This window comes from Homo sapiens, chromosome 14 (genome assembly GCF_000001405.40).
Source record: "Homo sapiens chromosome 14, GRCh38.p14 Primary Assembly".
In the NCBI taxonomy this organism is placed as follows: domain Eukaryota; kingdom Metazoa; phylum Chordata; class Mammalia; order Primates; family Hominidae; genus Homo; species Homo sapiens.
In genome coordinates this window covers 47,557,179-47,583,649 of record NC_000014.9, presented here as the reverse complement: position 1 = coordinate 47,583,649, position 26,471 = coordinate 47,557,179, and the positions used below count along the sequence as shown (strand labels likewise).

Below are 26,471 nucleotides of genomic sequence, written 5' to 3'. Positions count from 1 at the left end.
GGTAGTTATTAATAAACAGACATAATGTAAAATTTATCATTTTCTCCATCCTCCAGAAAGTTAAAGGCAGATAATTAGCTTTATTGCTGGGTGTTAAGATATTTATCAATTTTTCAAGGTTGAGAGAACTCAACATACGTATTTGAAATATATTTCAAGAAAATCTTGATTATTCAACATCCCAAAGTCTGACAGCTGAAAGTCTCTGAAAATAAATGAGAAATCAATTAAATGCTTTTAATGAGAATTGTCAAGGTGAATCAAAGGCTCATATTGCCATTTAAATCAGGAGTTGCAAAGTTCTCTGTTCTCACTGGCTAGCTGCTTCTTGTCATTCAGAGCTCAGCTTTAATCTCATCTCCTGATAGACAGGTCCTTCCTGACCATACAGTCTAATCTAGCCATTCTCCCTCACGTCATTCTATCTTAAGTCTCTGCATTACACTACACTTGCTCATTTATTTACTTGCACATTGTCTGTTTCACCTCAAGCTCTGTGAGAATAGAGACCTTTTCTGTCTGGCTTACTTATCTCTCTCCAGTGTCAAAAACCATACATTATGTGTTCCCAGTAAAATTTGATTGAATTAATGAGTTATGAATCAAAATCATAATTTGGATTGTCTTTAGAAGAAATATCTTAAGCTTTTACAATTTGGTGTTATTTACCCATCAAAGAGAGTGCTGTGGCATTCACGATAAGATGTACATTTGCTCACTTGCGGTAATTAGAAGCTTATGCAGTGAGAGACTGAGTTGAACCTGACAAAGAGGTTGAAGTTGTTACTAATTCTGGATTAAGAGAAGATGTTTTGAATAATTCTATATCATCAAAGAGTACTGATGAATAAAGTACAATTTTATTGAGAATATAAACAAACCCCAAGGAAAACTGCTGCTTCCTTTGATTGATTTATCTGGGTAGAATAATGGTTATGTAGCACTGTAGCACAAGCCTAGCATCGATACATCCTGCTTTGATATTTAAGCTAAACAATGGAAAAGATTGTATGTGATTTGATTTAGAAGTAGAAGCCATAATGTTTGCTCTAGAATCAGTGCTGACACTCTATATTGAAAATACAAAATATTATAATCACTAAAAATTAATAAGAAACTAAGACATGGAGTCATCGAAGATGATTAGGTTTCCAAAAAGTCCGTACACTGAACAAGCAAGGTTTAGCATATAAATTGAGACATTTCCATCAAAAGGACTGAAAATAATTTCAGTGTAAATATCAGATTCAGCCACATGTAAAAGCCATTCTCATCACATTTTTAAAACATGAATTGATTGTGATTCCATCTTTGCTGTTGCATGTTTTATGAAAAATCTTGAATGAAATATAGAGGTCCATTTTCATGACACTATTATGGAGGACTGGCCGTTGGAAGAGCATTCCTTTCTTCCTCCCTCTTTTATGTCTCATATCCTACTTAGACCTTTAAGAGCAGTGTGTGCCATAATACTGTGTCAGGAATTAAGACATAAGTAATGAAAAAACAACAACACCATAGCTAATGTTTAGTGAATCTTTACTGTATATCAAACACTGTACTAAGAATTTTAAGTCTGTTATCTTACTTGGCACTAACAATAACAATATGAGATAGATAATATTATTATGTCAGTTTTACAATTGAATAAGCTTGCAGAAGTTAATTTACTGAAGGTCCATTTTATTTCAGAACTTGCATGCTTAACTGCTGTTTCTTTACCTACAATAATGAATGCAGCACTGGGCAGAATGAGGGAAACAGCTATGTAAAATAATTTTTGAAACCCAGTGTGTATTAGCCAGGTTATATGCTAGAAAGCGCTAACTAACAACAAAATTTCAGAGACTTATAATGGTAAACATTTACTTTCCTGCATAAATTCAGGTTGTTGCGCCTGTGTTTTCATTTTGGGACCATTGGCCACTGGGGCATGTTCTTTCCACGAAGAAGCAAAAGAGAAGAAGAGTTTTATACCTACTAAAGAAGGCTTTACTCTGAATTGGCAAATGGTCACCTCTGCTCAGGTTCTGGTTATCAACACAAGTCATGTGACCAAGTCCAAAATCAATGGGACAACAAAATATAAGGATTTAGAGTGGGAATATGCACTGTACGTATTTCATACGGTAGAACTTTCTATGTTCTTTCCATGTTACTCAGCTAAGTTCATTCTAAAGTGTATCCCCCAGATTATTTGATTCTTTTTAAAAGACTATATTTGAACATATTTCCATAAAAACTTGATTGTTCACAATTCCCAATTCTTATATCCTCAAATAATCAAAACAGTCATCCTTTACCAGAGCTTGGATTATTGAAAATGAGGATTGAGTGAAGTTAGCAGGCAGAGGTAATGTGGAAATGATGCTTTTTTATCTGACTCTTATTCTCAAATCCTGTTGAGAACTACTTTCTAAAAATGCTACTTTTCTCAAGTCAGTAAGTGAGCTCAAATGCAGAAAGTAATAAAGGAGAGGTTGGAGAGAGAATTCTCTTTCCTGTATGTTCATGAAAATACATGCTTAGGGCTTTCATGAGCTTGAAAGCTGGATGAAGGGATAAAAGCTTTTAAAGCAAATTATTGAAGAAATTTAAGGCATTTTGATAAGTTGTAAGTGCTTTCCTGATTTCACGTGATTAAAATTTTGCTTTGCTCAGTGTGGTTGAGCTATTCAAACTTATTAGCAATCATTTTTCTTTTCTAAAATGACACAAGTTAGAGAAATCTGGTAAGCCAGCCAACTACTGTTGATATATGCTCCTTTGATGTGTAACCTGTGGAGACGGCCATTGTCACCAAGTTGGCTAAGAGGAAACAGGCAGCATGTTATGTAGTGGAAGCATTATTTCCCATAATTGCAAACCATAGAGTAAGAAAACCAGTGCCTTGTTCTGATGTAAAGCCTCAGGAAATTGTAAATACATATTGTTTCAAAGAAAAAAAAATGACTTCCAAGAGACATACTGGCTTTTTTTTTCTTTGTGCTTTCAAATATATAGAGACTCCATGTAGTCTCCTCTTTTCAGAGATTACTGGCAGGTGGAATATTTCCCCTTTAAATTTCTGTTTCTACAATCTCAGATCTTCTGTTGATAGAGCTTAAAATAGTGGCTCGAATGGAATCTTGTTGATATGGTGACATTTTGTAAAGACTCATTGCTGTGGTCTAGATATTTGTATACCCTCAAAATTGATATGTTGAAACCTACTACCAAATGCAAAATGATTAAGAGATGGAGCCATTAGGAGGAGATTAGATCATAAGGGCAATGCCCTCATGAATGGGATTAGCAGCTTTATAAAAGAGGTGTGAGGGAGCTTCTTTGCTCCTTCACCACATGAGGACATAGAAGGCAAAAATCTATGAGGAGTGGGCCCTCACAAGACACTGAATCTTGTGTCTTGATCTTGGACTTCCCTGCCTCAGAAACGTAAGCAATAAATTTCTGTTGTGTATAAATTACCCAGTCTAAGATATTTTATTATAGTAGTAGGAACAAACTAAGACATTAATTTACATGTAAAAACTTGAGCTTTGGAGAGTATTCAATAGAGCTGGGTTCAAGTTTTTGCTCTACCATTTAATTGGGGTGTGAATTTGACAAAGAAAAACAATCTCTTTGGATCTGCTTTCACATCTGTAATATAAGAATAATAATTCCTCCCTCTTTGAACCTACTATGTAAATTAGATGTAAATACATATATTCACATAGCATAGTAACATGTAATAATACTAATAATGGGTATCCAATAGTTTTAGTGATTGCTATCACTTTTTAAAAAATGTTTTCACCTGGAAAATGGATGTGTAGCAAGGACTACCTTCCCTCTGTATAGCGTTGAGTCTACTGGATTCAATTGTAGATTTTAGTGTCTTTTGAGAGCAATCCTAACTTTCTGTAAAGATTGATGTATCATGATTTTTATTATTTTTAGATGTCTTCCAAAGCACAAAGAGAACACATATTTCATTTTAAAAGTGAGAATAAAACTTACCCTATCTTTTTAAATTATCATATCAGTCCATTGGCCCTTATTATAAATTTAAGATATATTATGGGATTTTAGCGGTATCATTTTTCCTGTATCTTGAAACACATTGCTGTTTCATCATTCCTAGGGATTATTTCTTTATTCATCATTAATGTTCAACTATCATAAAATTACTAAAAAATACAATTAAAAGGGAAGATAATCTGCAATTATTAAATGAGTGAAAAGAAACAGCAGCACTATAGACTTTGATTATGTTGCTGAAATTTCTAAGCAAAATCTCAAACCATGAATCTTCAGATTACCATATCCTAGATGAATTTTCTCAAAATCAAGAATAAGTGGATGAATAATATCTTTTTAAGGACAAAAATAAATATGGCATTCTCACTTCATTAGTCATTCAACTGGAAGGACATTATCATGTCATACTTTACTACAAAAACTTGATCCATTCTATTTTGATAAAAGGTTATCTTTTGTAATATTTTTATCCAAGAATTCATTTGGAAAAGAGGTTAGTATGTTTCAATATTTTTACAAATTGTAACTTTTCAATTGTCTTTCCTGTTCTGTAAATTATTCATAAAACTTAAAAATATATTTAAGATATTTGTATTAAAAAATTGAACCCAAATAGCAAATGGTGATGATTATTTTTCCTGGAATGCTAAGGGTAAGATATTCATATACTTTGACCTAACATGGTACTCCCAGAAGTTTGCCTTAAGAAAATCTTTCAACTAAAGCAAGAATAAATTCATTGCAGTACAAAATGTAAACAAGCTAACTGGATAACATAGGGAATGCTTTGATAAATTGTGATGTATCAACAGCATAGCACATCATGTAGCCTCTAACAATGATAGTTATGAAGATCATGCAAACTTAGAAAAACACTTCTGATGTTGACTAAAAACAACATTTAAAGAATCCAAAAGAACTTAATAAGTCAGTACTTTTTGTAGGAATTATGGTAGTGGATGAATTAAAAAGAAAAATATTAACTCTGCTGTTTTTCCATTATTTGAGAAGAAAGACAATTAGTAAAACTAGCAAACTTAATTTTGCCCTATTTTGGTGATGTCTCACTATCGTCATTGCTTGGCTGGGGAACTGAATTTAGATTTTGATAATTTCCATAGAGTAAGATGGAAATTCACCATACTTTTGGGACATTGTGTATTGGGACATCATTTTGCTCAAGCAGTTTATTTCTTTTTTTAAATTTTTTATTTTACTTTAAGTTCCAAGATACAAGTGCAGAATGTGTAGGTTTGTTACATAGGTATATGTGTGCAATGGTGTGCTGGGCCTATCAACCTGTCATCTAGGTTTTAGGCCCCACATGCATTAGCTATTTGTCCTAATGCTCTCCTTCCCCTCACCCCCACCCCCTGACTGGCTCTGATGTGTGTTGTTCCCCTCTCTGTGTCCATCTGTCTCACTTACGAGTGAGAACATGTAGTGTTTGGTTTTCTGTTTCTGTGTTAGTTTGTGGAGGATAATGACTCCCAGCTTCATCCATGTCCATGAAAAGGACATGATCTCATTCCTTTTTATGGCTGCATAGTATTCCATGGTGTATATATACTGCTTTTTCTTTATCCAGTCTATCATTGATGGACATTTGGGTGGGTTCTATGTCTTTGCTATTGTAAATAGCTCTCCAGTAAACAAGTGTGCATGTGTCTTTGCCGTAGGATGGTTTATATTCCTTTGGGTATATACCCAGTAATGGGATTGCTCAGTCAAATGGTATTTCTGGTTCTAGATCTTTGAGGAATCACCACACTGTCTTCTGCAGTGGTTGAACTAATTTACATTCCTACCAACAGAATTAAAGCATTTCTATTTCTAAACAGCCTTGCCAGCATCTATTGTTTATTGAATTTTTAATAATCGCCATTCTGACTGGCGTGCAGTTTTGATTTGCATTTCTCTAATGATCAGTGATGTTGAGCTTTTTTCCATATGTTTGTTGGCTGCATAAATGTCTTCTTTTGAGAAGTATCTGTTCATATCCTTTGCCCACTTTTTGATGGGGTTGTTTTTTCTTGTAAATTTGTTTAAGTTACTTGTAGATTCTGGATACTAGACCTTTGTCACATGGGTAGATTGCACAAATTTTCTCCCATTCTGTAGGTTGTCTGTTCCCTCTGATGATAGTTTCTTTTGCTGTGCAGAAGCTTTTTAGTTTAATTAGATCCTATTTGTCAGTTTTGGCTTGTATTGCAATTGCTTTTGGCGTTTGCATCATGAAGTCTTTGCCCGTGCCTATGTCCTGAATGCTATTGCCTAGGTTTTCTTCTAGGGTTTTTATGGTTTGGGGTTTTACATTTACGTCTTTAACCCATCTGGAGTTAATTTTTATATAAAATGTATGAGGTGTAAGGAAGGGATTCAGCTTCAATTTTCTGCATATAGCTAGCCAGTTTTCCCAGCACCATTTATTAAATAGGGAATCCTTTCCCCATTGTCAAGCAGCTTATTTCTACTCTTTACTCTACTTTTGTCTCCTGTCTCATATATCTTCCTCCTTTACAGAAATATGCACAGTAACATGATTAACTTTACCATCTTTCTTTAAGAATAGTCTAGGCTGGGCATGGTGGCTCGTGCTTGTAATCTTAGCACTTTGGGAGGCAGAGGCAAGAGGGTTGCTTAAACATAGGCATTTGAGACCAGCCTGGGCAATATAGTGAGACCACATCTCTATAAAAAAATAAACAAAATTAGGGGGGTATAGTGGCACATGCCCGTGGTCCCAGATACTTAGGAGGCTGAGGCAGGAGGATTGCTTAGGCCTGGGAGGTCGAGGCTGCAGTGAGCTGAAATCGCAGCCTGGGTGACAGAATGAGAATCTGCCTCCTAAGGCACTGATACACTGATGCACAGACTAGAGATAGAAAATATATCTTAGATTTTTGAGATGAGCTAAAGAAGTTATCAGTTAAATGAGTATTTGGCCCATAGTAAGCCATTTATACTATTTTTGTTATTATCAATACTAACATTTGTCTTCACCCACAGTAATAAACTAGTATATTTTTGCAAGGCTCCCTTCTCATGTATGCACCTCATTGGCTCCTTTAAATTTGTACTCTTCCAATACAGTACAGATTGACTTTGGAGATTGAACACTGGGGAAATATGGCTGTTTGTTTTTATAATGATTGATTTGACATTTGCACCATCATGCATACCTTAATTCTGAGATATGACAAAAGCAGGGAAATGAAGAGCCAAATTCATGTGGAAGGAATCTCTCTATTTTTAGTTGTTTTTAAAATCATACCAGTAATTCACATTAAAACTCCATTATGGAAGCAGTTTTAACAATACTGGTCTATACTGTAGAAATACATATTTAATTCTTTCTAGAGTAAGCTGATTTTTATGTTTTTTGTTTTTGCTTACAGCTTAAATATTTCATAAAAACTTTGATACTGGTTTAAAAATAGTATCTGTAATGAAATGGGAAAATAGAAATTAAGTTAGAAAATCTGTTTCAAATATATAGAAGCCAAGTTATAAGCATACATATAAACAGTCTCTGTGATTGACATTCAGATTTGTACTTCAGCTTCTAGGAAACTGGAGTTGGGGTTAAGGAGGAAGCAAACATGATGTAATTATGTAATTTATAACACTGATAAAGGAATATATATAATAGTTCTTCAGAGGAAGCCCAGATTTCTTTAGCACTGAATTCCAAAATGCATCATGTGGGTTTTTGTGTGCTAAATATAAATTGATAGGAAATGTCCTAAATTATATTTTTACATAATATCAGTATTAAATTTTATGTATATTTTATGTGACCTTCAAAATTAGAAGCACAATATTAAATTGTCTTTTAGTAAAGTTGATTCTGTGAGGGACAAAATTTATGTAATTGAAATTCAAATCCTTACAGTAGCTGATCTTGATCTCTGATAAAATTTAAAGTACCAAGGGAAAGGGTGGCTCACACACATGTTCCCTAAACATTACTTCTTGTCCTTCATGGATAGTAGATGGCAAAACATCCAAAGTTTTATTTTCTAATGATTACCTATGAGGTTGGCATGGCAAAAGTAATTTTTGCCTGGAAATACTTTAAAACTTGTATTAATAGTCAGCATGTTCGGCCAGTCAATCAGCAGTTCCAAGTGACATGGTGGAATTTCTCTCAGAGTCTACACAGTTTTAAAGATAGACTAGATGGTTTTGGTTATTTGCCAGAAAATATGTTTATGCTTTTGATAGAATTAATGTGTGACTCATTTCTTCAAATATTTAGATAATGGGACCAGATTTTTTTGCTTGCTATTTTATATGAAAGCTGTTCATTAAAATGATGAAAATCATATCATCAGTATTTAAAAGGAAATTACTCTTCACTGTAGTACTGGGATTTGATTTTTTTCTGTTTTTCAATTATCTAATAAAATGTCCTCTCCATTATTTCGTTTACTACAGTTGTCCATTTGCAAAGTTAATATATTGATTGCGTTTTGTAAAATGGACACAATGATTAGAAATTATCTACTCAGAAAAGTAATCTGGAAGAGTAAACTCAGAAGTCACTCATACTAAAATAAGCCATGGGTGTTCCAAAAATAGAAGACACCTACCTATATAAACTTTATACACACAGACCTATGTACACTTTATACACACAGACCCACGTATACTCATGCACTTATGCCCCTTAATGATAGAAGATAGAGGGTGTGGGTAGCCCAGGGCCACATAGCAGCTGGAATAGAGCAGTGAGGAGCACAGACTCTGGGGCCAGACTTGCTGGCTTCAAATTCCAGCTCTAGTGACTGGCTTCATAACTTTGGGCAGATTATTTGCTCTTTAGTGCCTCAGTTTTGCCATCTGTAAACAGAGCTAACAGTAGCAACTACCTTACAGTGTTGGTGTTCAGGTTAAATAATTAGTATATGTAAAGTATTAAGAAGTTTTTCTCATTCATAATAAGCACTGAATAAATTTTATCTATTATTTTTATTATTAGTAATAATAGCAGTGGTACTAGACATGAAGGCAAAGAACATTCTTCATTTTAAAGGCAGAAATCAGATATTACAATTGACCTGTCATGACTGGATTAACTAGAATTAGGGTACAATTCATAGTTAAGAATATGAAAGCAAAAAGAATATTTGAAAATTGTATTTAGTCCATCAAACTGGACTAAGAAATACAGAGTTGGAATATAAGGGTGGCTGAATATAAGGGAAGCCAGGGACAAAGCATATGAAAGTTCCGTTGCTGGGCCAAGCCCAGGAACCCAGGAGAGGAAAGATGCACTTGCAAAGCTGGCCAGTGTATAGGATTCTGGCATGGGGACCTTGGCAAGCAGCCCAGGAAGTAAGACCGCAAAGGAGTAGTAAAGTACCTTTACTTAGGCTTGTGATATGGATAGGGCCACAGTTGCTGATCTTCAGCAAGGACAATAGTGTTTGAATCGCCTAATACCTACTTGGGTTTAATCTGCTCTCTTCCTTGGTCTGACTCTAGCATGTAAAAAAAGCCACGATCCACAGAACCCATTTTCTTCTCCATAAGAACTTGCCATATATAACCTAATGTTTTTGCTTGTACTTATATACACCATGTGAAGTTTATTATCAGCATAACAAAGAGAAAAGAGAATAGCGAATAAAGACAAAAAATGTTCATTTTGATTCAAAGCACTTTTGATGCAGTCCATAGAATTGAAAGTATTTTTTTTTTCTATTAACTTTGAAGTTTTACTCTCTACTGTTTCACCTTTCTGGAATTTCTGAAAACAGCAGCATTCTACAATGAAATCACTTCTTAATTTTTAAAATAAGGTTAACAAATGCATGAGTTGTAAAACACTCCTTCCATGTCATTTCTTCCAATCAGCTCTTCATATGCTTTTAGCTGATTTTCTCCTGCTTATTAAGAGCAGCTGTGTTTAAGCAGCTGGAGCACAAGTTGGCCAGTAAATGCATGTTATATAGACATTTAATACCACTTGGTGCTTTATCAGGCTTTACAACCTCTAATTAGTTAAACCACAGAATACCCGAGCACATTAGGTAATTATTACTTTTCCCCCATTTCACAGATAAGGAAACTGAGCGTGAGAAAGATTTGTTTTCTATTAGACTCTAATGGTTAAAGACCAGTGTGTAAGATGAACACTGGGTTTGTGAAAAAACGTGCTGTCTAGTGATATGGCAAGTCCTCAGGGCCCTGGAAATGAGAAATGTAATAACATTGCTGCCAGTATTATCCAAAAGATTATAATGTGGCTGATAGCAAGCTACTTTTTCAGAGCTAGTAATAGTCTATGTATATTATGCTGGATTCTCTAACCAACAGTTCATACTCAACTGCTTGGAAAACACTCCCCAAAAGAATAATGCTCATTTCTTCAGTGTTGTTATCTTAATCAACTCTCATCTTTTCATTGATATTTTGATGGAACTTATATCTGTTAATGTTTCCAGGGGTGTAAAATGAGTCGGAGAAGCAAATTCCTTAATGGATATATTTGGTTATGGGATTACGCATTAAATTAGAGAAATAATCAGTTGCAGAGGGGTTGGTCGTTGGTATTGTTTCATAGGGATCTGCTAAAAAAAACAGAAGACTGTGGTAAATGAATTAGATTGTCTGTTTCTTAGCATAATTTCTGCCTTTAATTATTGCTTTACACTGAACTAGAAAGAAAATATTAAAATAACCAAAAAATAAAGAGCATTTATATTAAAATTCTAATCAAAGTCGGGTAAATTTGTTTCATATATGAAGTTTAAATTAGTCTGCTGTTCTGATTGGTTTACACTATTGGATTGTGCTGCTGAGGCCAGAATTTCTGGTTCCATTTATATATGGGCCAGTTAATTTTCCATTGTGAAAAAATATATTACTGTTTCTGAGGTCTGTATTCCTAAGTCCAGCTAGTTGCCTTCCCAGAAACTTGGCTGCCTCTCTTGAGTAGTACCATTGGAGGTAGAGAGTTCCTCCCAGAGGACCTAGAGAAGACATGCTGCCTATTTTAGGATTTGGTGGAATTTCTACCTGAAATATTTGGTCCTTTGTAAGCCAACTCTGCAAAAACCTGAGTATTGACCTAGGGGATACCACCAATTCATCCCTTAAACATTTTTGATGATCGATTCTTATGTTTGAATCGGGTCAGAATTTGTTTAAAATTATGCAATCAAAGTTTAATAGCCTTAATCATATTCAAGCAATTGTTATAATTAATAACATGATCCCAAATATTTCTGATTTAAGCAAGATGTACAGCTAGCAGTTAATCTAATACATAAAATATGGCCCATGATTTAGATAAAGTTTGTGTGGGGACATTAAAAATATACAAGCGGCTTTTATAAAGTAATAAGAGAGCACATGGAAGTCAAAATTGTTGTTCATAGTCACTGTACACGCACATACCTTGTATTTTGTAGAGAAGAAAAATCAGCAATGTAATAAATCATAAATGCCACAAGCAGTGCAACAATTTGGAACAGCAAGGGATGGGATTGAATAGCCTCAGATTCTATTTGGAACTTCTTTCTGCAGTAAAACAGACATGGAAGACATGCTATGTGGAAGGAGTAATAAGAATAAATGGTGGAGACCAAAAACCAGATTCTGTATTCTGACTGCATATACTTTTATTTAACAAATGAGCAAAGTATGTATGTGTGTGCATAAGAATGTACTGTTCAGGTGTGTTTGTGTGAATGTATGCAGTATTTTTTTAATTATACTTTAAGTTCTGGGATACGTGTGTGGAACTTGCAGGTTTGTTACATAGGTATACACGTGCCCTGGTGGTTTGCTGCACCCATCAACCCGTCATCTACATTAGGTATTTCTCCTAATGCTATGCCTCCCCTATCCCCCGACCGCCCCCCGACAGGCCCCACTGTGTGATGTTCCCCGCCTTATGTCCATGTGTTCTCATTGATCAATTCCCACTTATGAATGAGAACATGCAGTGTTTGGTTTTCTGTTCTTGTGTTAGTTTGCTGAGAATGATGGTTTCCAGCTTCATCCATGTCCCTGCAAAGGACATGAACTCATCCTTTTTTATGGCTGCATAGTATTCCATGGTGTATATGTGCCACATTTTCTTAATCCAGTCTATCATTAATGGACATTTGGGTTGGTCCCAAGTCTTTGCTATTGTGAATAGTGTCACAATAAATATACGTGTGCATGTGACTTTATAGTAGAATGATTTATAATCCTTTGGGTATATACCCAGTAATGGGATTGCTGTGTCAAATGGTATTTCTACTTCTAGATCCTTGAGGAATTGCCACACTGTCTTCCACAATGGTTGAACTAATTTACACTCCCACCAACAGTGTAAAAGCATTCCTATTTCTCCACATCTTCTCCAGCATCTATTGTTTCCTGGCTTTTTAATGATCACAATTCTAACCAGCATGAGATGGTATCTCATTGTGGTTTTGATTTGCATTTCTGTAACGACCAGTGATGATGAAGTTTTTTTCATGTTTGTTGGCTGCATAAATGTCTTCTTTTGAGAAGTGCCTGTTTATATCCTTCACCTACTTTTTGATGGGGTTGTTTGTTTTTTTCTTGTAAATTGGTTTAAGTTCTTTGTAGATTCTGGATACTAGCCCTTTTTCAGATGGATGGATTGCAAAAATTTTCTCCCATTCTGTAGGTTGCCTGTTCACTCTGATGATAGTTTCTTTTGCTGTGCGGAAGCTCTGTAGTTTAATCAGGTCCCATTTGTCAATTTTGACTTTTGTTCCCATTGCTTTTGTATTTTAGTCATGAAGTCTTTGCCTATGCCTATGTCCTGAATGGTATTGCCTAGGTTTTCTTCTAGGGTTTTTATGGTTTTAGGTCTTATGTTTCAGTCTTTAATCCATCTTGAATTAATTTTTGTATAAGGTGTAAGGAAGGGATCCAGTTTCAGCTTTCTGCATATGGCTAGACAGTTTTCCCAACACCATTTATTAAATAGGGAATCCTTTCCCCATTGCTTGTTTCTGTAAGGTTTGTCAAATATCAGATGGTTGTAGATGTGTAGTGTTGTTTCTGGGGCTGTATATTTTTAAGAGAATATATACCTTTGGTTGATAATATGAAATGGAAATACAGAAAAAAGTATCACTTACAAAGTAATATATCATTTAATCTTCTAACAACTCCATGAAAGGAAAATTATTATCCTCATTTTGCACATGAGTATACTGACTTAAAGAGGTTAAAGAACTTGTCTAAGTTGAACATATATCTCTAACTCCAAAATCTGTGCTTATTTGAATATGATAGTAGCAGCTTTGGTTTAGAGAATGTTCACGTTAGGTTGGTTTTGCCATTGAAAGTAATGGCAAAAACCGCAATTACATTTGCACCAAGAATATAATATATTGAGGATACTAAGTGGGTCCTATGTCTATTATTTCTTTAAGTAGAAAAGCATTCTTTCTTTTAATTTTAGTTTTTGTAATTAATTCTGTGGCATATTTGAGAAAGAAGATAACATTTTTAAGGTTAATATTTTATGGCATCTTATCTGGACACATTCTAATATTATATATTGATTTAAAAAAAACCTTTTCCTTTATTCATTAGATTTGATCAATGTGTGAGGTTACACTTAATTCCAGTTTAAATATTTTCCTATCTTCAACAATGAAGATTTATTTTGCCTAAACATTTTATTCAATACTTCATTAAAGTTTTTGCTCTATGAATGTAACCATAGATCTTTAAAAGCAGATTTACAGTTCCTCATGCTTAAGATGAACCTTTCTTTAAAAGTGACCTTTTTGAAATTAAAACATTAGAAGTTATTAATTGTACATAAGTGGAATACAAAACAACAAATGAATAATCTGTACCTGAAATATACTTAAGTTTGATTTATCCATTGGATTATTCTTTTAGTAAACTGAATGAATTAGGACACTGTGAGCTGTAGTAATGGAAATTCTGACAGAACTGGCCTAAATAAGAAGAGAATTTCTTATCTCCAGAATTTCTCAGTGCTCGATAATTGATTGTTGACTGAACCATAGCATCAGGACCTCTCTACTTACTGCCCTACCATTTTTGGTGTATAGTTTCTTCCTTTGGCTGGTTTCCATTGTGCTTGCAAGATGGCTGAGAACTTGACCTGGGACTGTGTTGGGTTTTTCTTCATAGTCAATGAGAGACAGAAAATCTGTTCCCCAATCACGAAATGTAAATAATTTTTTTAACCTGACTGGACCAGATTAACTGCAGTTGCCATGTTAATGCCATGCACTGGTGCAAGCCAGCAGTACTCAAGATCCATCCCCTGGAGGCAGTTGTGGGGAAGATGCATGAACAAAATTGTGGATTAAAATGAGGAGAATGATTATTAGATTTTGGCCCTGGACACTAAAAACACATATTATTTCATAATCCAGTATTAATGTGAGTTTCAACCTTAGTTTTTATATAAGATCTCTGATTATCAAAGAGTTGAATTTTGTTTTGTTTTTTTCTCACCCTGTCTTATGGTGCTGACAGAGAGTGTTATTTTGAAAAGCAAATAAAGGTATTAAAAACAAAAAACTCCACAAGGTTAGATATATTATTTATTTCAGTAATCAGCCGATTTTATATCAAAAATGACAATAAATGTGATAGTAAGTTCAAAACCAGCCTGGGCAACATACTGAGACTCTGTTAAAAAAAAAAAAGACATTAATTTTATGTTTTAGTAAGATGTGAGGGAAGAAATTACCCTACCAAAAGAAAGTTAAAAACTCTCCAAATAGAAGCTTACTTCATAAACATCAGTGCAAACTTAAAAAAAAATTGGAAGTACATGTTTTATAGCCAGCAAAGTAAATGTCATCAAAAGTTGATCATGAAAAAAATTCTGCATTAAAAAATATTCTGACCCCAGCAACAATTTACAATATAACAGGATTATTTTTTATAGACTATAACGATTGGCAGAAAGATAATTTTACCAATCTACAAATATTTCTTAACAGAAATTATTTAAATACTCTTTAACTTTATTCTCCTTAGAAAATATAAGCTTAATAGTGTTTGGGGCAATATCTATGAAATTTAAATTGGAATAAATGATCAGTTAAACAGACTTTAAGTGGTGTAAATCATCCATGCCACCTTCTCTAAAGACATATTTGAAATTTCTCTTTACTGTGAAGAAAATGCTCTTTTATCTTGGTGATGTATTTTTGCTAAAAATTGGTTATTAATCCGTAGTCCATGCAGTCATATTCAGTATTTAGTTGTACTTGTCAAAAAATGAATTCCAAAATAACTGCATTTTGTTATATTTGTATGATTCATTAAGTTTTATATGTTATATTAAAAGAATGACTGCTGATGAATGCTTTAAGTGGACAGGAATAAGGGATGCTGAAGAGCTTTAACATTCTTACTTGCGGTACTGGAGTAAAATCCCCCAGAACAGCAGTTGGTTGATGACTTTAGTCTATATAGACAGCATGAGTTCCATAAAATCCACATGTGATTTTAAAACTTCTAACTTTAATAACCTCGCTGTGTCATAATTCAGGCAAGCTGGAACATAATCCATATTATTAGGGCCCCAGCAGTACTGACTAATGAAGAAAAGAAGGAAAATGGGATTTAGTGGACACATGGGAGTGAGCCCAGGAAACCTGTAAGGCTAGATTCTTATTGGGAGCTAGCATGGGAGTAGCCCAGAACGTCCAAAAACATATCCAGGTGTTTGGAACATGCCAGCAAGCAGAGGAATACGAGGTTTTAGACAATCTGACAATTCATAGTGAATTTCAGCCATGCCTGGAAGTACAACAAATAAAATTTTGTACTTTTTGTTGATGAGGTGAATGTTAAAATCAAAATAAACAAAAACTATACATAGAGTTAAGGCCTTAGTTTAGTGGAACACTCTTAGATCAGGTTCCCTGGCCCAATAAGAAACAGGGGTGTTAGGGAAGTGGAATTGGAAGTCTAGGCATTTTCTGGGTCAAGCAAATGCAGATGATAGCAGCTACCCCAGAAGAGCATGTGTTCAGCCCTCCCACAAATGCTGTAGACACTGGATCTCATAATGGAAGACTTAATTTTACCTTACCTACAAGTGTTTTGCATATGAAGGCATTCTCTGTCATAGTTGGAATGAGCTCAGAAAGATGAAATTTAGTTTCTAGACAAACAGTATTGCTGCTTGTTTGGGCAAGCAAATGTTGAATGGTTGCTAGAGTGTGTCATTCAACATGTAGCATTTCTAGGATAATGTATGATAAGTGTTTTTCCTTCAGTTGTTATGTTCCTCATTTTAGCTTGCCATAAGTAAAGCTTACCATCTTATTCCATTACAGATACTTTTTGTCACAGGTTCTATAATAAACATGAATTGCAAATAATTACATATGATAGATGTTTGGATGGATATCTTCTAAAATATTTTAAAATAATACTTTATTGGGCTGGGCATGATGACTCAGGCCTATAGTCCCAGCACTTTGGGAGGCTGAGGTGGGAGGATCACTTGAGCCCATGAGTTCCAACCTGGGCAATATAGTGAGACCCCATCTCTACAAAAATTAAAAAAAGATAGCTGGGCGTAGTGGCACATGCCTGTAGTCTGATTTACTCAGGATGCTGAGGCAGGAAGATCACTTCCAGGAGTTTGAGGCTGCAATGTGCTGTGATCACGCCACTGCATTTCAATCTTGGCAACAGAGCAAAACCTTCTCTCAAAAAAAAGAAAAAAAAAAAGGAAGATGGATGACTAGATGCAACAAGGAGGAGAGTCTACCACCAAGGAACTGGGACACCAGGAAGACTAGCATACTCCAAGCAGATCTGCACACGGAAGGCATTGAGAGTGGACAGAGGGAGGACACAGATGCTGGGCTGAAGAGGGAGGAAGCTGGGAACTCTGCAAGGGGCTACCACATACTAGGACTAGTTCCTGGCCCCCAGTGACTCCTGGGGAATGAGTGTGTTAAGCAGGCATGGTGCAACCTGCTCATGCACAGACCTCTGGAACCCTGGCAGGAGAAGTCTCCCCAACCCCCATGGAAACTTGAGGGAAACTGGCAGGAAGAGCTACTTAGAGAAGTGACAAGTGCAAGACTCCAGCATGTGTGCAGCCCAGAGGGTTTAATGTGGGAACATGTGCCAGGGAGCACATCCAGGGACATTCATCTCCTAGGATTGCCTTGCTCCCCTGGGATACTCTAGCTTTAAGTGAACTGTCAGACCTGAAGAGACCAGGGTGATCTTGCCTGTGAGACAGGGCCAGTCTGACCTGAGCATGCTTCTGTCTGCTGACCTCTCCTGGGATCCCAGCCTGGATGTGCCTGCTTGCTGTACAGCCTTGGATGCCCAATTGAGGTGCCTTTCAAGGGCATACATCATAGCTCCTGTACTAGCAGACCATACCTTACCATCAGAGAGCTCTAGTAGAGCAGCCCTTGCTGACACACACCAGCCTACACATGTCCTTCTTCCACCACAGCTGCCCGTGTTACTTCACTGGCACACACTCATCCACAGTCATCACCCATCACTTTGCTTGTGTGCATATGTGCAGGCAAACCTTGCCTCTCCTTCCCTGCTGGCATGTGGATGTATGTGCACCCACCATGCCATTGCTGCTGTTGTGAGTGCACCACCTGCCCTGCATCACGATGCTGCCATTGCTGGCGCAAACACATGCACAGACACCAGCAACACCACCCCCACTCCAAACTACCATTGCTGCCAGAGTGAATGAACACAAGGACATCCGCACCCCCATTCCCTGCCCCACATTGTCACAGCTGCTGGCACGAACACCTGGACAGAAATTGCCAGCCCTACACCTGCCAGTGCCCTGTCCCCATGCCAGCACGGCCATGGGTATGAATGTGTGCACATGGACCCCAGTGGATTCAGCCCCCAGGGCTGCCTATGCCACCACTGCCAACAACCTTATGGAGACTGGTGCCCAGGACCCACCAGAATCTCACCCCATCCAATGAGCATGCACTCTGTCGTATGGCCACAACTGGTGGCACAAGAAGCAAGGAAGTCAGATCCTGCTGCTACTACTCAACAAAGAACTTTGTCTGGCACCACCCTCAGAGAATTGTGACCAACGGTTTGGGAATGCGGACTCACTCGGCCCCTCCAGCTCAGCAGGTTTCCAACCTCCAGCCAGAGAACAAAGCTGGGGGCCTGATAACAGCCCCCCAAAGTTAAAGTACACAGCCCAATAATACTGAGCTGAACCTTGGCCCTCAAAAACCTACAAGAAACAAAGCCAGTCAACTGGACCTACCTTATGCCACAATCAAACTGCCAAGGACATCAAAGAAGATAGAAAAGCAAACAAAACAAAACAAAATAACAACAACAATCCAAAAGGCAGCAACTTGAAAGATTGAAGGAACATCAGCCCACACAATGAGAAAGAACCAGCACAAGAACTCTGGCAACTCAAAAAGCAAGAGAGTCTTCTCACCTCCAAATGACTGCACTACTTCCCCAGAGCAGTGGTTCTTAACTAGGCTGAAATGGCTGAAATAACCAAAACAGAATTCAGAATACAGATAGGAGCAAAGATAATCAACATCCAGGAAAGAGTTGAAACCCAATCCAAGGATTCTACAGAATACAATAAAACTATACAGGAGATGAGAAAAAAAAAAGTGGCCATTTTAAGAAAGAGCCAAACTGAGCTGATGGAGTTGAAAAACTCAACAAGAATTTCAAAATACAATCACAGGTATTAACAGCAAAATCCACCAAGCTGAGGAAAGAATCTCAGAGCTTGAAGACCAGCTCTCCTCAATAACTCAGTGAGACAAAAAATAAAGAATAAAGAAGAATGAACAAAACCTCTGAGAAATATTGGATGATGTAAAGAGACCAAATCTGTGACTCATTGACATCCCCGACAGAGAGGGAGAGAAAACAAGCAATGTGGACAACATATTTCAGTATATTGTTCATGAAAATTTCCTCACTACAGACGCCAGCTGATATGGTTTGGCTCTGTGTCCCCACCCAAATCTGATCTTGAATTGAACTTCCATAATTCTCACATGTGGGAGGGACCTGGTGGGAGATAATTAAATCATGGGAGCAATTTCTGCCATACTGCTTTCATGGTAGTGAATAATTCTCCTGAGATTTGAGGGTTTTATAAGGAGAAACCCCTTTTGCTTGGCTCTCTTTGCCTGCTGCCATCTGTGAAAGACGTGACCTGCTCTTCCTTGCCTTCCACCATGATTGTGAGGCTTCCCCAGCCTCGTGGAACCATAAGTAGATTAAGCCTCTTTCTTTAGCAAATTGCCCAGCCTCAGGTATGCCTTTGTCAGCAGCATGGAAACAGACTAATACATCAACAGTCAAATTCAGAAAATGCAGAGAACCCATGTGAAATACTACAAAAGACCATCCCCAAGACATATAGTCATCAGATTCTCCAAGGTCAAAGTGAAAGAAAAAATGTTAAAGACAGCTAGAGAGAAGGGGCAGCCACCTACAAAGGGAACCCCATCAGGCTAACAGTGGACCTTTTAGCAGAAAACCTACAAGCCAAAAGAGATGAGGGCCTATATTCATCATTCTTGAAGAAAATAGTTTCCAACCAATAATTTCACAAACAGCCAAACTAAGCTTCATAAGTGGAGAGAAATAAGATTCTTTTCAGACAAGCAAGTGCTAAAGGATTTCAATACCACTAGAATTGTCTTGCAAGAGATCCTGAGGGGAGTGCTAAACATGGAAGGGAAAGAACATTACTCACTGCTACAAAAACACATACAGTACATAAACCAGTGATACCATAAAGCAACCACACAAACAAGTCTGCATGATAACCAGCTAACAACATGATGACAGGAACAAATCTGTATATATCGATATTAACTTTTAATTTAAAGGGGCTAAATGGCCCAATTAAAAGGCACAGAATGGCAAGTTGGATAAAAAAGCAAGATTCAGTGGTATGTGAGACCCATCTCACGTGTGGTGACATCATAGGCTCAAAGTAAAGAGATGGAAAAAAAAAATCTACCAAGCAAAAAAAAAAAAAAAAAAAAAAAAAAAAAAACAGAAAAAAGCAGGGGTTGCTATTCTAATTTCAGACAAAACAGACTTTAAACCAACAAAAATTTTTTTAAAGGTGAAGAAGGGCATTGCTTAATAGTAAAGGAATAAATTCAACAGGAAGACCTAACTAACCATCCTAAATATATATGCACCTAACACAGGAGCACCCAGATTCATAAAGCAAGTTCTTAGAAACCTATGAAGATACTTAGGTCACTACAAAATAATAGTGGGAGACTGCAGCATGCCCATTGACAGTATTACAGATCATTGAGGCAGAAAACTAACAAAAATATTCAGGGCCTGAATTTGACATTTGACAAAATTGACCTAATAGACATCTAAAGAACACTCCACCCAAAAACAACAGAATATACATTCCTCTTATCTGCACATAACACATATTGTAAAATTAATCACATAATCAGACATCAAGCAATCCTCAGAAATTTTTTTTTAAAAAAATGAAATCATACCAACCATGCTTTCAGACCACAATGCAATGGAAATAGAAATTGATACTAAAAAAATGACTCAAAACCATAACATTATATGGAAATTCAACAGCCTGCTCCTGAATGACTTTTGAGTAAATAATGAGATTAAGGCAGAGATCAAGAAATTCTTTAAAATTAATGAGAACAACGATAAGATACAATATACCAGCATTACTGGGACACAGCTAAGGCAGTGTTAAGACGGACATTTATAGCACTAAACTCCCACCAAAAAAAGATAGCAGAGTCTCAAATTAACAACCTAACATCACAAGTGGAGGAATTGGAGAAACAAGAGCAAACCAACCCCAAAGCTAGCAGAAGACAAGAAACAACCAAAATCAAAGTTGAACTGAAGGAAATTGAAATGCAAAAACCCACACCAAAGCAACAAATTCAGGACTTTGCTTTTTGAGAAAATTAAGATAAACAGAACACTAGCTAGACCAATAAAGGAAAAAAGATTCAACTAAACGTAATCGGAAATAAAACATGAGACATTACCACCAATCCCCCAGAAATACAAAAATCCTCAGAGGCTGTGATGAACACCTCAGTGCACACAAGCTAGAAAACCTAGAAGAAACTGATGAATTCCTGGACACACACAACCTTCCAAGACTGAACCAGGAAGAAATAGAATCCCTGGATACCAATAATGAGTTCTGATATTGAATCAGTAATAAAAAGCCTGCCAACCAACCAAACAAACAAACAAACTCCCAGGACAAGATGGATTTACAACCAAATTCTGCCAGCTGTATCAAGAAGATCTAGTACCATTCCTACTGAAACTATTCCAAAACATTGAGAAGGAGGGAATCCTCCCTAACTCACTCTATGAGGCCAGCACCATGCTGATACCAAAACCTGGCAGACACAACAACAAAAAAATACAACTTCAGGCTGCTATCCTTGAAGAACTTAGATGCCAAAACCCTCAACAAAATACTACCAAACTGAATCCAGCAACACATGAAGAAGTTAATCTACCATGATGAAGTAGACTTTATCCGTGGGATGCAAAGTTGGTTCAATATTTGCAAATCAGTAAATGGGATTTATCCTGTAGACAGAACTAAAAACAAAAATCACATGATCATCTTAATAGATGTGGAAAAGGTTTTTGGTAAATTTCAACATCTCCTCATGTTAAAAACCCTCAACAAACTAGGCATTGAAGGAATATACTTTAAAATAATAAGAGCCATCTATGACAGATTTACAGCTAACATCATGCTAAATGGGCAAAAGCTAGAAATATTCCCCTTCAAAACTGGAACAAGACAAGGATGTCCTCCCTCACCACTCCTGTTCAACATAGTACTGCAAGTCCTGGACAGTGCAATCAAGCAAGGTAAAGAAACAAAAGGCATCAAAATAGGAAGAGAGGAAGTCAAACTATTCCTGTTTGCAGACTATATGATTCAACACCTAGAAAACCCCATGGTCTCTGCCCAAAAGCTCCTTGACTGGATAAACAACTTCAGCAAAGTTTCAGGACAAAATCAATGTACATAAATCAGTAGCATTCCCATACACCAACAACGTGCAAGCTGGGAGCCAAATCAAGAATGTAATCCCACTCACAAAACTTAGAAAAAGAATAAAATAACTAAGAATACAGTTAACCGGGGAGGTGAGGGATCTCTATAATGACAATTACAAAACACTGCTGAAAGGAATCAGCGATATGAACAATTAGGAAAACATTCCATGCTCATGGATGGGAAGATTCAATATCGTTAAAATGGCTATGCTGCCCAAAGTAATTTACAGATTCAATGCTATTTCTGTAAAACTACCAATGACATTCTTCACAAAACTAGAACAAACTATTTTAAAATTGATATGGAAACAAAAAAGAGCCAGATTAGTTAAGGCAATCCTAAGCAAAAAAAAACAAACAAACAAAAAAACAAAACAAAACAAAAAAAAAAACAAAGATAGAGGTATCATGCTAGCCTATTTCAAACTATACTATAGGGCCAAAGTAACCAAAATAGCGTGGCACAATACAGAATCAGACATGCAGAACAATGGAACAGAATAGAGGGCCCAGAAATAATGCTGCACACCTATAACCATCAAATCTTCAACAAAATTGACAAAAACAAGCAATGGAGAAAAATTCTGTATTCAATAAATGATGCTGGGATAATTGGCTAGCCAAATGCAGAAGATTGAAACTGAACCCCTTCCTTACCCCATATATAAAAAATCAATTCAAGATGTACTAACAACTTAAATGTAAAACCTAAAACTGTGAAAACCTTGGAGGATTACCTAGGATATAGGACCTGGCAAAGATTTCATGATGAAGATGCCAAAAGCAATTTCAACAAAAACAAAAATTGACAACTAGGATCTAATTAAACTAAAGAGCTTCTGCACAGCAAAAGAAACTATCAACAGAGTAAACAGCCTACAGAATAAGAGAAAAATATTTGCAAACTGTGCACCTGACAAAGGTCTAATATCCAGAATCTATAAGCAACTTTACAAAGCAAATTTACAAGCAAAAAACAAACAACCACATTAAAAAGCGGGCCAAGGACATGAACAGACACTTTTCAAAAGAAGACATAAACATGACCAAGAAACATGAAAAATGCTCAATATCACTAATTATAAGAGAAATGCAAATCAAAACCACAATGAGATACCACCTCACAACAGTCAGAAAGCCTATTATTAAAAAATCCTAAAATAGGCTGGGCGCGGTGGCTAACGCCTGTAATCCCAGCACTTTGGGAGGCCGAGGCGGGCAGATCACGAGGTCAGGAGGTCGAGACCATCCTGGCTAACACGGTGAAACCCCGTTTCTACTAAAAATGCAAAAAAAAAATTAGTCGGGCGTGGTGGCGGGCGCCTGTAGTCCCAGCTACTCGGAAGGCTGACGCAGGAGAATGGCGTGAACCCGGGAGGTGGAGCTTGCAGTGACCCGAGATAGCACCACTGCACTCCAGGCTGGGCGACAGAACGAGACTCCGTCTAAAAAAAAAAAAAATCCTAAGATAACAGATGCCAGTGAGGTTGCAGAGAAAAGGGAACACTTATTCACTGTTGGCAGAAGTGTAAATTAGTTCAGCCATTGTGGAAAACAATGTTGCGATTTTTCAAAGAACTTAGACGTGCCATTTGACCCAGCAATCCCATTACTGCATATATTCCCAAAGGAATATAAATCATTCCACCATAAAAATACTTGGCTGGGCATGGTGGCTCATGCCTGTAATCCCAGCACTTTGGGAGGCCTAGGCGGGTGGATCACCTGAGGTCAGGAGTTTGAGACCAGCCTGACCAACATGGTGAAACTTCGTCTCTGCTAAAAATACAAAAATTAGCTGGGCGTGGTGGTGGGCACCTGTAATCCTAGCTACTCGGGAGGCTGAGGTAGGAGAATTGCTTGAACCCGGGAGGCGGGGGTTGCAGTGAGCCAAGATCGTGCCATTGCACTCCAGCCTGGGCGACAGAGTGAGACTTTGTCTAAAAAAAAAAAAAAAGAAAAGAAAAAAAAACTTGTACTCATATGTTCATCACAGCACCATTCACAGTAGCAAAGACACGAGATTAACCCAAATGCCCATGAATAGTAGAATGGATAAAGAAAATGTGATGCATATACACCATAGAATAGCCATAAAAAAGAACAAGATCATGTCCTTTGCGCTTTGCAGGAGGAACATGGATGGAGCTGGAAGCCATTATCCTAAGTGAACTAACACAGCAACAGAAAACCAAATACCACTTGCTCTTATAAACCACAGCTAAACATCAAGTATATATGGACACAAAGAAGGGAACAACAGACTACTGGGACCTACTTGATGGTAGAGGGAGGGAGGAGGGTGAAGATTGAAAAACTGTCTGCCGTGTACTATGCTTATTACCTGGGTGAAAAAATAATCTATACACCAAACCCTTGCAACACGCAATTTACCTATGTAATAAATCTGCACGTGTACCCTTGAACCTAAAAGTTTAAAAAAAGATTAAAAATTCATCTCAACTTTTCATCTAAGGTCTTATTGATTAATGTTTTAAAGTACTTTATTATTTGAGACTCCTGTATAAAATCTCAAACAATTTAATATAAAGCTCTTTTGCAGAATCATATGTGTATCGTATGTATATATTCAAATTTTAAAGAAAATATAAAATTTACAGATTATAGCTGCCTATTTTACTTCTTTAAAAAAATCAAACAGGAATGATAGAAAATTATCTAATCAGCATTCTGTGAGAAGCTCTATTGTTAAAAATAATCATTTCTCATCATAAATACACCCCCAAGATTTTATTATAATTGTCATTATTTAATATCTATTTCTTCTCTGCCCTTGGTGAAAGGGTTAAATTTATATGCACTTATAAAAAGGATAAGCATGTTTTCATTGACTGGCAGGAAACAGTTATTTCATAAAAGGCAGAAAACTTGTCAAGATGGACAAAGAGGATGTGCACGTGTGCTCTCCCTGAAAGCAGAGGCTAATTATGAAATCCACTACTTAAAAGCCTGTTTTATTTTGTCAATTTACATCACTTATTTATTTCTGAAATCCAGAGATGTTTACTTATTATTTTTGGAAACTTGACTGTTGTTCTTCATTTGTTGAGGTACAAATAATGTACTCCCCCAGAAAACTGCAGAGTGAGTCAGTCATTTTCAGTAAGCATTACTTTTATATTGAAAATATAACTTCCTCCAGATGCTGGGTTAAAATCAAAACTAGCATTATATTAGCCTAGACCTAAAATTTCTCCAGGATATCAAAGTGGACTAATTCTTTTCTTACCCCTGCCCAACCCTATCACAGGTTATTTTAAACCAGGATTGGATACTGTTTGAAGAGTAATGTTATTTTTAGAAAACATTACATTTGTATCCATAGGCATAGATGGGAATAGAGTCTTCACCCAACCATAGTCTTTTTTTCTAGGTGCTCTGGCATTATGGTGTCAGTCATACCTTCTTCCTGCCACACTCCCCACTTGCCTTCATTTTCACTGTCGACTATTCCACAGGATTCTACTTTTTAAAGTCATGATGACTCATATTTATTAGAAAGTAGACTATTCACACTGATATCTCAACTATGTAAGATAAGTGAAGTATTTATAATGACAAATGTGGATAATCCAAAAATCTATTTACCCATCTTATGGATCTGTTTGAAGCTCTTTTATATAACAATGTGGAGAGGTGAGTTTTGAATGTACAAATTAATAAAGGGAGGCCAAATCAAATGTTTGTTAAAGATGACTCATAAGTCAATCATATACATTTATAATACAAGTTATAGACATAGGGCTAAGGATACTATTCCTAACAAATCTTTTATTCACATTATATCTATAGTGCCTGACGTAGAACATGATGCCATATAGCAGGTACTTAGTAAAAGGTTTTTGATTGAGAAATGGATTTAGTTTGATGCAATATAACATTTGTGAAAATTTTTCTCCATTTTGAACTGTTGAATGTTGACTCAAGCTTTTTAACATTGTATCTGCCTCCCCTCCCTTTCCTACCAGATGTTGGAAATCTCTCACTTTCTCTGGTTCTTAAAGACCTGTCATGAAAGGGTCTTTTCTCACAATTGATTTGTCAGCCTAGACTACTGGGATGTTCTGTAGACCTAAGGAACTGTAGAACCAAACCTATTTATTTTATAATTGCAAATTACACCCTTAAATTTTCCCAGAGATAAAATGACACACCAATTTCTGACATGTTCCTGATTTTATCATGATCTTTAGAATCATTTGAATACTAAAACGTGTCCATCCTCAAAGTTCTGTAAATTTTACTTCCATTAGATTTGTAAATCTTGCCTCCCTTATAGTGCCATTTTTCTTCCTTGGTTAAATTAGTCCAGGAAACACAGTCATTCTGGGGAT

General features: G+C 36.5%; 1 protein-coding gene across 4 annotated transcripts in view, besides 2 other annotated features; it reads left to right on the top strand.

The window, feature by feature from the left end:
- The window catches only part of MDGA2 (MAM domain containing glycosylphosphatidylinositol anchor 2), an 835,983-nt gene that overhangs the window by 91,956 nt on the left and 717,556 nt on the right, over positions 1-26,471 (top strand). The gene's annotated exons all lie outside the window — the stretch shown is intronic.
- Positions 17,263-17,762: an enhancer, noted in NCBI's record as "H3K4me1 hESC enhancer chr14:48035091-48035590 (GRCh37/hg19 assembly coordinates)". NCBI's record gives its function as "activates a minimal SCP1, AML or CMV promoter by ChIP-STARR-seq in primed H9 embryonic stem cells {active_cell/tissue: H9 hESC(primed)}" and the evidence as "EXISTENCE:reporter gene assay evidence [ECO:0000049][PMID:30033119]".
- Positions 17,763-18,264: an enhancer, noted in NCBI's record as "H3K4me1 hESC enhancer chr14:48034589-48035090 (GRCh37/hg19 assembly coordinates)". NCBI's record gives its function as "activates a minimal SCP1, AML or CMV promoter by ChIP-STARR-seq in naive and primed H9 embryonic stem cells {active_cell/tissue: H9 hESC(naive and primed)}" and the evidence as "EXISTENCE:reporter gene assay evidence [ECO:0000049][PMID:30033119]".